General features: G+C 46.8%; 1 protein-coding gene across 23 annotated transcripts in view; it reads left to right on the top strand.

The window, feature by feature from the left end:
* The window catches only part of MAP7D2 (MAP7 domain containing 2), a 110,195-nt gene continuing 96,223 nt past the window's right edge, over window positions 829-14,800 (top strand). For 14 of the 23 annotated variants that reach the window (NM_001168466.2, XM_005274480.4, NM_152780.4 and 11 more), the window contains exon 1: window positions 829-986. In NM_001168466.2, the coding sequence (NP_001161938.1) occupies window positions 857-986 (130 nt within the window). In that variant the 5' untranslated portion in view covers window positions 829-856. Of the gene's footprint in view, window positions 987-1,095; window positions 1,206-14,800 lie in introns of those variants that run through there. The other 9 variants (NM_001168467.2, XM_047441983.1, XM_017029397.2 and 6 more) reach the window with 1 other exon arrangement.

Raw genomic sequence — 14,800 nt, 5'->3', positions numbered from 1 at the left:
TTGAAAGGCCTAGGTCGGCCTACGGCGCGTGCCGCTGCCTCTTAGTTGAAGATCGACCCCAATAGCTTGCTGCTGTCCCTCTCTGGGTGACCGCACGCTGAGGGTGGGGCGTCACTAAACACTGATTACCCGTGCGCCTCGAAAACTGGAACCTAACTATGCATGGAGGGCGGGTCCTCTGGCGTCTGCACAGATGTCACTGGCCCAACTGGCACCCACCTGGGGGCCTAGCCAGAAATTGTTCCCAAGGCTGCATTGCTGAGTTTGCATGCAGACACCCAGTGAGTGTAAGCGTGTGCGTGCTGAGTGAGCACGTGTGTGCGCGTTATGTGCTCTGTGTTCACACATTGAGTGAGGATGTGTGTGCACGGTGTCTGAGAAACTGCACCCTACATCTACACACGCTTTGAGTGTGTATCTGCTACTGTGAGAAGATGCATTTACGCTGGGTGTGCACGTTGTGTGTGCATGTTGCATGTAAGCATCGTATGAAGAACTGTGTGCGTACGCACGCCTTCTGTGTGTGCACTGTGTACAGCAGCGTGTAAGGACGCGTGCACGCCCGTACGCGCTGTGTGAGGACTGTTGTGCACATTGCATGCACACGCTACAAGCGCGCGCCGCGTGAGAACCGGTGCGCCTATCGCACGTGCACGCCCTGCGTGCGCTGTGCGTGGAAGCGGTGCGCCTATCGCACGTGCACGCCTTGCGTGCGCTGTGCGTGGTAACCGGTGCGCTTATCGCACGTGCACGCCCTGCGCGCGTGCTGCGTGAGGACGCGTGCGCATGCGGACGCGCGCGGGTTCGGTGCGGCGCGGCGGGCTTGGCAGTGCGCCTGTGCGGCCGGCGCATCCCGATGGAGCGCGGCGGCGGCGGCTCCGGGACGGGATCCCGGCCTGAGGGGACTGCGCGGGGAACCTCTCTCCCAGGGAAGATCGCAGAACCGGGCGCGGTGCGGACCTCTCAGCCCAACTACCGGCCTCAAGGTATTATCCCCAGAGTGTGGCGGGCGCCCGAGGGCTTCGGGTTCCTGTGGGGGGGCGGGCCCGGCGGCCCAGGGCAAAGGTCCTCGAGCGTGGGGGGAAGGGGCACGGCGCAGAGCTGAGATAAACGCCCTTTCCCTGGCCCAGGATCGTCCGGACGTGCATCCAAGGGCCGCACCCCTCTCTGTGCGAGTGGCGGGGTTCTTTCTTGGGGCGACCTGGGTGAGTGGGTACACATGGGGGGTGGCTTAGGGTGGGCGGCAGGTGTGTTTGGGATGGAGGTGCCTGAGGGGGTGCTGCGGGTCCAGTCCCCGTCCTCGAGGAGCAGCCGGCATGGGGGTCGTTAGGATAAACCGAGCGGGGTTCTGGGGTTGCCCCGGCCTCCGCGCGCGCTCTCTCTGCGTTCTGGGAAACGCGCGCGAGCGCCGCTGCAGCCCGCGGCGAAGGTGGCCCAGCTTCGCGCCTCTTGGCGTTTCCAGGGGGCAAAATCGGCGTGTCACCCATTGGCAGAGGCAGATTCGCCCGGGCGGCCAGGCGTCTGCCCCGGACCGGGTGCTCCTCCCGCCCGGATGCGCTCCCTGTCTTGGGAACGCTGCTCAGGTGGCCGGGCCGCGGCCCTCAATCGAGGCAGCGGGGCAAACAAGGCTCTCAGCCCTCGAGGCTGCCGATGCTGGGAGCCATGGAGGGCTGGTCCCTGGCTGCCCAGAAGCCAGCGAGGCAGCGGAGGAGACTGTGAGGACATTTGGCAGGATTTTAGATAAGCAGGTCTGATGCTAACGTTCTGTAAAGTGGTTGCAGGTAGTGCGGGGGTGTAAGCAGCATGGAAACCGATTTCATGCTGTTTTTCCTGACAACAACTTTTTTATTTTTAGTTAATAAGGCAGGCTATTTTTAAAACATTTTTTATTGCAGTCTAATATGCATTTAAAAAACCACACAAAACTATAATTCGATGAATTATCACATAGTGAAGATGGGAGTATTTTATATACGATGGGCCAAGAAAAGGAAAGAAATCAAGAGAAATCTTCTTAAAACACGCTTTTTCACTGGGGTTGAGGGGGCGAGGTAGTATTTTCTGACTGGGCCTTCAGTTGCATCATTCTTAGGAGGAGGAGATAGCTTAAATCATTTCCAGTTTGTATTTTTCATTATGCTATTTTAAAGGCAGAATTCATTAACTGTCACAGGATAACGTTATAACTACCTTTGAAATGTGTGCTTTTGTTTTTATCCTTTTTGCTTGAAACACTCAAGCTGCATCTGCTAGGGAAGAACCTGGAAACTACCCACCAGAACGACCCTCCGTGGCAGAGGCGACCTTGTATAATAAAACACTGAAAAGGAGAGGTTGTTTCAGTTTGCATTTTTATTTGGTTGAGAGCTTAAATAATAGTTTGTTTCGATGTTCTGTTGTACTCATGAGAGGTGGGGAGGGGCGGTATGATTGGGTTTTCAGTGTATCTTGGATTTTATTTGAAGGAACTTAAGGGGTTTTTTTTTTTTTTTTTTTAATGGAAACAAAATTGGGGAAGGGGAGGAGGTACTTTTGCGGGGGAGATTCTTAATAAGTTCTGTTTGGAAACTATTGTAGAATCATTTAATGCACTCTTCTGATATTAAGATTAGCTTAAGGATATCTTCCTTCATTTGAAATTGGAAATATAGAAAAATATGTGTGAAGGTTTAAAATGTGAAATAAGCACCTATGTGCATTAAGGTTGGTATGGTAAAATTGGAATGTTTAATTTAGGTGCCAGGTGATACCACCATTTGTTGTTTGGGGGAGTTAGCAAGGCCAGGTACTTAAGTAAAGTCTCCTTAGAAAAATTATGATTTTGAGGTTTTATAATTATCTGTCCTGGATACTGATCATTCTTGGTTACCCAGGCCCTTAGCATTTGGGACCCATTCCTAATGAGACTTAACCTGCTTTTCTAGAGAGTCAACCATTGTTCCTAAGCTTGGGCTGGGTGCTGTCAAGGCTGCAAAATACAGAAAGACCTGAGATGTTTAGGCTGTCCAACAATTTTGTGTTGCACACTTAGGGGATATGAGTTGGCAAGTGGTTTTCCTGGGAGCTGTGTAAAAGACGGAAAGGAAATACCGCTGGTGGTTTCCTCTAGCAACAGGTTCTTCCGATATTGAAATCCTGTGCATGTTCCCATTACCCCCTAGTGATGCCTTCTTTCTTTCCTTTTAATTACCTCTGAATAGAAATTACCAGATCTACTGTCCATTTTAGTGCTTGTCTGATACACATAGTATAACAAATGAGCAAGTGCTTGTTTCAATCTGCTTAACAACCTTTAACCAGCAGATAGAATCACCAGATCTCAACCATATTTCCTTTCTTTCTTTTTAGATGAAGTCTCACTCTGTTGTCCATGCTGGAGTGCAGTGGCACAATCTTAGCTCACTGCAACTTCTGCGCCACCATGCCCAGGATCCCAGCACTTTGGGAGGCCGAGGCAGGTGGATCACTTGAGGTCAGGAGTTTGAGACCAGTCTGGCTAACATGGTGAAACCCTATCTCTACTAAAAATACGAACATTAGCCGGGCCTGGTGGCGCATGCTTGTAATCGTAGCTACTTGGGAGGCTGAGGCATAGGATCGCTTGAACCCAGGAAGCGGAGGTTGCAGTGAGCTGACCTCGCGCCACTGTACTCCAGCCTGGGTGACAGAGCGAGACTCCGTCTCGAAAGAAAAACAAAATAGGGTGGGGCCTGGAGATAGAGAGTAGGTGGTTATTGGAGACTGCGAAGGGTACTGGGGGGTGGGAAGGAGGTAGGAATGGTTAATGGGTATAAAAAAATAGAATGAATTAATAAGGCCTGGTATTTGATAGCACAACAGGGTAATTATAGTCAATAATAATTTAATTGTTCATTTAAAAATAACTACTAGTATGACTGGATTGTTTGTAACACAAAGGATAAATGCTTGAGGGGGATGGCTAACCTGTTTTGCATGATATGATTATTTCATATTGCATGCCTGTACCAAAACATCTCATGTACCCCAGAAATATATGCACCTACTACCTACTATGTAGCCACAAAAATTAAAAATTGTAAAATAAAAAAAAAAGTAGAGTGGGCCCGAGTAGCAAAGGCATTGGGTCCCCAAGAAATCGGAGTTCTTCATCCTTTTTCAAAGTTGTGTTTAAAACCATTCTTGAACGCTTTAATCCTAAAACTGTTCAGATCGCTGGGCGTGGTGGCTCACGCCTGTAATCCCAGCACTTTGGGAGGCCGAGGCGGGCGGATCACGAGGTCAGGAGTTCAAGACCAGGCCGGCCAAGATGGTGAAACCCTGTCTCTACTAAAAATACAAAAATTAGCCAGGTATGGTGGCAGGCACCTGTAATCCCAGCTACTCGGGAGGCTGAGGCAGGGAATTGCTTGAACCCGGGAGGCGGAGGTTGCAGTGAGCAGAGATTGAGCCACTGCACTCCACCCCGGGCGACAGAGTGAGACTCCGATCTTAAAAAAAAAAGTGTTCAGATCAAGAAGAACAAGAGAACAAGTTGAGTTTGTGCCTCTAGAGTCTCTTTGGTAGTAGGAAGGACCACAAACTTCCTACAAAGTTGTATTTGGTTTGTGGCTCCTGGCTTTTTTTACTGATGGCAGCATAGGACTTAGACTTAGCAGGACCTTCAGGACAAACTGCTGAAAGTCTTTGTGATTTCTCTTCTCATATCCTAGCCATGGTGACATAGCTGCTCAAAGTCTGTCATTTCTAACCTGCTTCCTCTCCAACATGAAAGGATGTTTTCCTCTCAGGTGCCCCATCTTCTGCAGTGGCTAGTGTTTTAAAAGAACACTTTGTCTTCTTGTAATTACATTGATTGCCTTACAAAACAGAAGGATTCACAAGGTTGATTTGGGCAGGCGAGAGATGGAGATTTCTGGGGGCTGTTGGTAAATATCCTGGTGGGTCTTGTTGAGAGGATTTGATGAGATATATTGGCTGGTGATACAATGATACTGCCTGGTTTTAGGGGGCTGTTCATGTGCTAAGTTGGCTCAGGCGGCAGTTCCAAGATTTGAAAACTTCCCATGGCCCTGCCCTCCGGTCCCTTTTGAAAGGAATTTCACCAGAAGAAGGAAGAGGGGGTAGTAGAGGGCAGCCGCCCTTAGGGAGGGAGTGTCCACTGTCCACCTCACATCTGAGTCGGCCGCATTTAAATATGGAGTTTACCGTCTTGGCATCTGAGGCTCTGGGTCTGACTAGGCCTTGGGATCCCGCCTCGTCTGCCTCTGAGGTCAGTCTGAATGCAAGCCCCCATCTGCTTTTCTGTTGGGAAGCATTTGTTTTCCTCTTGCCTAGGAACTTTTTCTGTTTTTAAAAGCCTTGTGACTAGCAGAGTTTGGGTTGTCATTTAAGCGAAAGGAAAACAGGTATGAGTGAGCCGCATGCATGCAAAGCATTTGAGGCAACAGCAGTGATGCCAAATGCCTGAGATCCTTGGAATGACAGGGTCTGTCCCCAGGGCTCCTAGCTTCTGACCAGTGCTGGGTTCGTTCACCACCTAAAAAGACTTGGCTTTTCCTCTCAGTGCCAAATAGGTTGGTGCCTTGTAGCCCCCAGGCAACCCTTTGGAATGTTCCTTGCTCCTTTGTCATCTCACCCGCTTCATCCGTCCCACCCTCTGTGTTTCTGTAATAACAGCTTTATGGCTGGTCGTGGTGGTTCACACCTGTAATCCTAGCACTTCAGGAGGCTGAGGCCCACAGATCGCTTGCACTCAGGAGTTCAAGACCAGCCTGGGCAACATGGCAAAACCCTGTCTCCACAAAAAATACGAAAAATTAGCTGGGCGTGATGGCACGTACCTGTAGTCCCAGCTACTTTAGGGGCTGAGGCGGGAAGATTGCTTAAGCCCATGAGGTCGAGGCTGCAGTGAACTGAGATTGTGCCACTGCACTCCAGCCTGGGTGACAAAGTGAGAGCCTGACTCAAAAATAAAAATAAACAGCTTTATCATCTGTATAAAATTCATATGCCATATAGTCCACCCATTTAAAATGCACAATTCGATGGTTTTTAGTATATTCACAGAGTTGTGCAGCCATCACCACAATCAATTTTAGAACATGTTCACCACCCCACAAAGAATCCCCATACTCACTGACATTCTTCATTCCCCCGGCCTCACAACTACCCATCTGTCTATATAGAGACCACGAGACTTCTGCCGGGACAGTCTTCAGCCTTTGGTGCAGACACGCGTTGCAATTGCCTAGAAGTCTGTGGGTGGGTCTTCATGCATTAGAGGTTTAGAAACCAATATTCTGCATACTCTGTCCTTCAGGTCTAAGACGCGCTTTTACCCTGAAGCCTTGCCTTTTCACCTCCTGTACATTCCCACTCCACAGGGCCTGCAAAGCGCTCAGAACCTGAATGTAATGTACACAGCGGTCTGCAGTTATATACTGCACATGTTCATTTTAGCTTCCCAGACAGTAATGGCCGCTAATTGTTGAGCACTTATGTGCCAACCCTCATAGTTCTGGGGGTTGCCTGGGCTTATTGGAGAAGTTCTGCTGCTCCATTTGGGGTCACCTGGAGTCCCTCATGCTGGTACAGTCTGCTGGTCTGCTGGGAGCTCAGTTGGGCTCGAAATGTCCAAGATGGTCTCTCATTGTCCAGGTACCTAATCACAGAGAGTCTGTCCTGGACTTTCTAACAGCGTGGCTGCTGTGCTTTGAATAAGGAAGCAGAAGTTGCCAGTTCTCTTAAGGCCTGCACATAGAAGTCCCAGAATGTCATTTTTGCTGTGTTCAGTGGTCAAAGCAAGTCCCAAGGCCAGCCTAGATTCAAGGGGAGAGGAAATAGACTCCACCTGTTGATGTGAGGGCAGCATGCACCTACTGGGAAATGAGAAATTGTTAGTGGCCCTTTTGGAGAATATCTACTGTAATAGGCAAGTACAGTCGTTCCTTGGTATCCATGGGGGATTTGTTCCAGCACCTCTCAAGAACACCAAAAATCAAGGATGCCCAAGTCCCTGATATAAAATGGTATAGTATTTGCGTGTAACCTATGCACATCCTCCCTTATACTTTTTTTTTTTTTTTTTTTTTGAGACAGAGTCTCACTTTGTCACCCAGGCTGGAGTACAGTGGCACGATCTCAGCTCACTGCAGCCTTGACCTCCCAGGTTCAAGCAATCCTCCCACCTCAACCCCTCCAAGGAGCTGGGACTATAGGCATATACCTCTATGTCTGGCTCATTTTTGTTTTTGTTTTGGTTTTTTTGAGACAGAGTCTTGCTCTGTCACCCAGGCTGGAGTGCAGTGGTGCGATCTCTGCTCTCTGCAACCTCGCTTCCTGGGTTCAAGTGATTCTCCTGCCTCATCCTCCCAAGTAGCTGGGACTACAGGCATGCACTAGCACGCTCGGCTAATTTTTTGTATTTTTAGTAGAGATCGGGTTTCACCACGTTGGCCAGGCTGGTCTTGAACTCCTGACCTCAAGTGATCTGCCCACCTCAGCCTCCCAAAGTGCTGGGATTACAGGCGTGAACCACCGTGCCCCTCCCTCCCTTACACTTTAAATCATCTCTGGGTTACTGATAATAAATGTAAATGCTATGCAAATAGTTGCTATACTGTGTCGTTGTTTTGGGAATAATGACCAAAAAAAAAAAAAAAGTCTGTGCAACCATCCACTTTATTTTATCTGAATATCTGAATCTTTTCTTTTTTTTTAAGATGGAGTCTCACCCTCTTGCCCAGGCTGGAGTGCAGTGGTGCAATCTCGGCTCACTGCAACCACTGCCTCCTGGGTTCAAGTGATTCTCCTGCCTTAGCCTCCCAAGTAGCTGAGATTACAGGCCTCTGCCACCACAACCGGCTAATTTTTGTATTTTTAGTAGAGTCGGGGTTTCACCATGTTGGCCAGGCTGGTCTCGAACTCCTGACCTCAGGTGATCCGCCTCCCAAAGTGCTGGGATTACAGGCATGAGCCACCACGCCCAGCCTTAATCTGAATATTTTTAGTCTGTGGTTGGTTGAATCCTTGGATATGCAACCCTTGAATACAGTGGGCTGATTATATGTTTTAATTAAGAAAGGTTATGTATTCAGCGAGAGGTGAGAGATTAAAAAAAGAAGAAAGGTTAAGTTATTTGCCCAAGGGCACACAGTAAGTGGCAAACCAGGCTTCACACCCAAGTGTGTTTGACTTCGGAGCTGAGAAACTTTTTTTTTTTTTTTTTTTTTTTTGAGACGGAGTCTTGCTCTGTTGCCCAGGCTGGAGTGCAGTGGCATGATCTTGGCTCACTGCAACCTCCGCCTCCTGGGTTCAAGCGATTCTCCTGCCTCAGCCTCCCGAGTAGCTGGGACTACAGGCGTGCACCACCATGCCCGGCTAATTTTTGTACTTTTAGTAAAGATGGGGTTTTACCATGTTGTCCGGGCTGGTCTCGAACTCCTGACCTTATGATCCACCTGCCTTGGCCTCCCAAAGTGCTGGGATTATAGGCGTGAGCCACCATGACTGACCCAGAGCTGAGAATTTTTAACCCCCCGTGCCACTGTGCCTCCACGGATGGATAATAAACTCCTTTCGCGCATGAGCTGTGTCTCCCACATCTGCTATACCCCTCTGAGGATCTAGCTCAGTACTATCTAGCCACATCTTACAAAGATCTTGTATGCCTTTTACTTAGTACACAGTTGTTTTTCTCCCCAAAGGCGATGGGGATCTCATTTCTTAGAATTACAGCAAAAATGTTATTAAAATGCTTAGAGGAAGATAAGTTCCATTTAATGGAATTTCCTAGTTTACCAGGAATGAACCCCCCATCCTCTCTGTGCCCACAATTATTGTTAAGGATCTGAAGATACCCTTAATCGGCTTCCTGCCTTAGGACACTGTGTTGGGTATGATTGAGGTTCTTGCTGTTAACTGTGGTCATTGCTCTAGAAGGACCCTGGAAGATTCTCTGATACTCTAGGCTAGTGTGTCTCAAACTAACTCTGGTAAAGGAGCAGTTTTTAGTTTTTTTGTTTTTTTTTTTTTGTAAATTTCCAATCTGCTGTTGACCAGTATCTTGGTAAAACACAGTAAAGAAAAATATATGAAAGACATGGAAAATACAAGTCCCAATTTTTAAATATCAGGTTAGATTAATATTAGATTTAAAGAGCTCATTAAGTAACAGAATACTCTGTCCAGTTGCTGTAAATGTTCTAAATGCATGCCCTCGGTGGGGTGCAGTGGCTCACACCTGTAATCCCAGCACTTTGGGAGGCTAAGGCAGGCAGATGACTTGAGGTCAGGAGTTCAAGACCAGCCTGGGCAATATGGCGAAACCCCGCCTCTACTAAAAATACAAAAATTAGCCAGATGTGGTGGCGCATACCTGTAGTCCCAGTTACTCGGGAAGCGGCGGCACGAGAATCGCTTGAACCAGGGAGGTGGAGGTTGCAGTGAGCTGAAATGGCGCCACTGCACTCCAGCCTAGGTGACAGAGTGAGACTCTGTCTCAAAAAAAAAAAAATAAAATAAAAAAGAAGCATGCTCTCAATTTATGCCTTTATTCTTTATTGCAGATTGATAATGAATAATAAAGAGATTGTGCTCCCTCCCCACAGCCCATCAGGGTTAGGCTGCTCAGGGTTTCCTGAAGAAAAAAACAAACAAACAAAAAAAACGTAAAAAAGAGAGACTGGCACCTGTCCACAGGACACACTTTGAATAGCTCTGCCCTGGGCCAGTATTTCCCAAAGGGTATGGTACATAAGAGGGTTTTAGATTGCATGTGGACAGACTTATCTTTTTAACTTTAGATTAATAGTTCTGTTGATTCTTCAATTTATTTTAAAACTACAACTAGTACATCATGCTACAGTTTCTGAATATTTTCAGAATGAGTAAAAAGTGAAAAAACTACAAAAACTAAGCGAAAATAAGTCAATTTAAAGAAAAAGACTATCCACTGGGCCTGGCGTCTAGGAAAAAAATTTTAAAAATAAAAAGACCAAATAATAGAAGTCAGTGCTGGCTAATACAAACAGAATGCTAGCCACATATGTAATCTTAATTTTTCTAGTAGACACATTAAGAAAAAGAAACGGTGAAATTAATATAATACAACTTACTTAGTCAAGTATGTTCCAAAATATTATCTTTCAGCATGTAATTAATTAATTAATTTTGGGGGGGGCGGGAAACAGAGTCTCTCTCTATCCCCCAGGCTGGAGTGCGGTGGCGTGATCTTGGCTCACTGCAACCTCTACCTCCCCGGTTCAAACGGTTCTTATGCCTTAGCCTCCCAAGTAGCTGGGATTATAGGCACATGCCACCACGCCTAGCTAATTTTTGTATTTTTAGTAGAGACAGGGTTTCACCATGTTGTCTAGGCTGGTCTTGAACTCCTGACCTCAAGTGATCTGCCTGCCTTGGCCTCCCAAAGTGCTGGGATTACAGGTTTGAGCCACCGCGCCCAGCCCCTTCATCCTCTTATGTACCAAGTTCTCTCCCTTAACCACACTTTCCTTCCCTAAAGTAGGTAAAATTTGGCAAAACAACCAACCAATCCTGGCTTCCCCTGTGTGAAACCAGGTCCCTCACAATCCTCTCCAAGGATGAGCATTCCTTCTGTCTCTGCTGAAAGAACCAGACAGCACATTAGATTTCATCATTTTCCCCACCGCCCTCTGCTGTGGGCTACCCCGAGCCTACCGCCCTTGCCGTCATTACTAAACCTCCAAAGTTCATCAGCTCTGTGTGTAGTCCTTTTTTTTTTTTTCTTTGTAGAGGCAGGGTTTCGCGCTGTTGCCCAGGTTGGAGTGCAGTGCTGCCATCACAGCTCACTGCAGCCCCAACCTCTCAGGCTCAAGCGATCCTCCCACCTCAGCTCCCAAGTAGCCAGGACCACAGGTGAGTGCCACCATGCCTGGATCATTTTTGAATTTTTTTTTTAAATAGAGACAGGTCTCATGCTGGGATTACAGGCATGAGCCACCTCACCTAGCCTCAGCATGTAATTAATATTAAACGTTATTAATGAGATATCTGACATTCTTTTCTTTGCAGCAAGTCTTTGAAATTCCATGTCTATTTTACACTTCTAGTGTGTCTCCATTTGGACTGTTTGCGTTTCACGTGCTCAATAGCCAACTGCGGCTAGTGGCTACTGTATTGTACGGCACTGACCTAGAGCATTTCCATCACGCAGGGAGTTTTGTGGTCTACATTGAGTCTCATGGTGACTAAGTATTCAGTGTGATGACTGTGCTGTCAAGTATGGCGTGAAGCACAGTATGTGTGCTGTGGTAGTGAGTCCAGCTTGGATCTCTTCTTCATGAATGTAGAGGAAATGGAAACACACTTTGATGGAATGGGCTCCCCCATATCAGGCAAAGCAGGCCCGGATTCCCCAGGCTTTTGAAGGGATATCCTGATTTTGCTTTCCCCAGCCTGGGTGAAGGGAGTGCACCAAGGCTGTGACTAGTGGGTCCTCACACAGATTATTGTCTTGGGGACCTGATAGACTGTGGAAAGGGGATGGACTTGGCTTTGTGGGAATTATTAAGCTGTCATCGAGGAAAAGTGCTAAGGTTTGAATGTCCATTCCAAAACTCATGTCAAAATTGCCATTGTGATGGCATTAAGAGATGGGACCTTTAAGAAGTGAGTAGGCCATGGGGCTCTGCCCTCATGAGTGGATTATTGTTGATAGTGGATTCGGTTTGGCCCCCATTTGCTCTCTCTGTATCATGGGCTTGCTTGCCCTTTTGCCATGTTTTGATGCAAGAAGAAGGCCCTCACCAGATGCCAAGCAGATGCTGACACCACCAGCATCCAGAATTGTGAGCCAAGTAAATTTGTTTGTTATAAGTTACCCAGTCTGTGGTATTCTGTTATAGCCACTGAAAACAGACTAAGACAGAAAGCATGGTATTGAAAAAACATGGAACCATAACTGTGGGAGGAGAGAGCTGTATTAGCCAGCTTAGGATCTCCTGGGTTTGGTGTTGGGGTCGGGGTCAGGAATCCCTGCTGCTGGGTAGGGTCTGCTGAGTCGGGATTCAATGGGCTCTGTGAGATTCGATCTGGTCATCTTCCCCAGCTGGTGTCATGTCTTCCTAGTGCCTTGTCCACAGAAGCCACTTGCTGATTCTGACCAATAGGTACTGATTGACTGTTAGGACAGATGCCCTAACTCTGGGAACTACACCATTAAACAGGGAAGTTCCAGTGTATCTGGGCTGGTTCTGCCTCCATCTTTCTAGGTTTGATGTGAAAGAGCTGCCATTAGTTACAGATGGCCTTAGTGGACTGATTACCCAGCACCTGCTTCAGGGCCTGCAGGATGAACCCCTTCCCAGACCAGCTTGTCTCCTTCCTGAGCAGTTGGTCTGTCTTCACCGTTGGTCACTGATTCCTTCAGAGTTGACTCTTGGTTTAGCAACTCAACCAGTGTGGTACTCTGGTTGCTGTGGTAGATGTATGGGATTAACGTCCTTTTCAGCTCCATTTTTTATCCCTACCCTTGTTTTTCTCTTTCTCTCCTACTTTCTGTATTTATTTCTACTGTATTTTATATAAGCAATCTTAATCTTTTCTGGAAGGAGGGAGGGAGGGCAGGAAATGACCTCGCAGCTGGAGTCTCACCAGGCACCTGCAGCCCTTTATTAAGCAGTGCTCTATGTCCCTGTTTCAGAACAACACCTTAATATGTGCTATTAACTTGAAGTAACCGTCTGAATCGTAAACTGGGCAAAACCGAATTCTGCTGATGTGCTTATTCTTAAAAACAGCCCCCCATGGGATTCCTGTATGTTCTCTTCCTTCAATACCTAGCGCGTTTTCAGCACTACATTTACCAGAGGGAAAGTGTATTGTTCATGGGGATAGCATCACCTCTTAGCAGGTGTTGCTCTTTTCTACCCTATTAATTGTATTTGTTTAGTTTTCTTGATCACCAGTCAGGGGTGACAGTGGGTGGTGAAATACTGTGACAGCCTTCAGTGGAAGCTTTCCTTGTACCTGGGTAATTTTTCCCCTGGTGGAGATACGTGTTATGAATAAAATTTAGCATTGATCATTTTCATTAGCTAGATAATCAATATTTTTAAGCAGTTGTAGTTATGTCTACAGACCAAAAGCTCTTTTAAAAAAATCACTAATTCTAGGCCAGGCGTGGTGGCTCATGCCTGTAATCCCAGCACTTTGGGAGGCCGAGAGGGGTGGATCACCTGAGGTCAGGAGTTCGAGACCAGCCTGGCCAACATGGCGAAACCCCCTCTCTACTAAAAATACAAAAATTAGCCGGGTGTGGTGGCGCACGCCTGTAACCCCATCTACTCGGGAGGCTGAGGCAGGAGAATTGCTTGAACCTGGGAGGCAGAGGTTGCAGTGAGCTGAGATTGTGCCACTGTACTCCAGCCTGGGCTACATAGCGAGACTCTGTCTCAAAAACATCATAAACTAAACATTAAAAATTATGCATTTTAATTGCCATTTTCTTACTGCAAAACATGTTCCTGCTCTCCCTTTTTCCTCTCCTCACCCACCTAAATTTCCACTTCACTTGATTTTACTTTTGCCAGTCACAAATTTTTTTCTGAAGAATAATTGCTTCTTATTAATAGTCCATTGAGCTCCACATATCCCTAATCTTCTGGGATGAGATTAACCCTTTTTATAGAAGAACAATTAAGTGAGGAAAATGGACTGTTTCACTATACCCTGTTCAACTTTAATTTCTCTTAGTTGTGTTTTAGTTTCTCTGTTTCAACCAAGAGGCCCAAGGGTTCTCAGTGCCTTTCTACTGGGGAGTGTTGAATGTCCTTTGTGGTACATAGTTTTATCTTTACTGCTTAAAAATCAAAAGGATTATTTACACTTTGGCATGTAAAGATTATATCAGAGCAAATGGCTCTTAATTCAAGCAGAGATAAGACATGCAAGGTACAACACTGTCCAGTAGAACTTTCTGTGATGTTGGAAATGTTCTAGGTCTGAACTGTTCCATATGATGGCCACTAGCCACATGTGGCTGTTGAGCATTGAAGACCTGAGTTTTTAATTGTTTCTAAATTTAAAAAAATTGAATTTATATCAGCACATATAGTAGTAGCTTCTGTATTGGACTGTACAATTAACTAGCTGTTGACTAACCTCGACAGATTAGGATCAGGAATGAGGAAGGAGTTTCAGATCTCAAACAAAGTTACTTCAAACCCACCTACTCTTGGTTTCTCCTGTACAGGCTTTGATATTTGGCACTTGTCATTCAACCACTCTCAGATGCTGGTAGGCCACCAAGAACAGAACCAGCAGTTAGCTCCTTGACACTGTATCAGGTCTGTAGGACAGTGATCGAACTGGTAGACAAGACTTGTTCCTGGCTCCGTGGTGGCCCTGGAGTGCCCACAGTCAGCCAATCCTCTCTGTCCTGTCTCAGCTTTTCAACTTGGCACAACTGAAGAGTAAAAACTGGAGCCAGGGTCTTTAGTTTCACAACTTGGTTGGAGAAACCAGATTGACTTACAAGCCATTACCAAACCATTAGATAAAACCAGTAGCTAGCTATGCAGGATTTGGGTGAGCTGTGGGCAGAGCTTTTCCAGCAAAAGGTTGGCAGGGACCTCAACCACACCCTAGGCCAGAGAACCCCGTGGCAGGAAGTGAGGTTGGTGGGGGCATTGGATGCCTTTGCTGAGTTAATCGTGTTCCCTGTTCTCTAGCAAGTACTCAGTAAAATGGATAAGTCTCAGCTCTTTCATTCTAGCTTGCTCCTTACAAACTGCGGCCTCAGACATTGGCCCCTAGAACTCAGTTGCTTGTCTGTACA

The sequence above is a fragment of the Homo sapiens genome, chromosome X, assembly GCF_000001405.40.
Source record: "Homo sapiens chromosome X, GRCh38.p14 Primary Assembly".
Lineage (NCBI taxonomy): Eukaryota > Metazoa > Chordata > Mammalia > Primates > Hominidae > Homo > Homo sapiens.
Note: the sequence above shows the minus strand (reverse complement) of the source record. Positions and strands in the feature narration are given on the sequence as shown.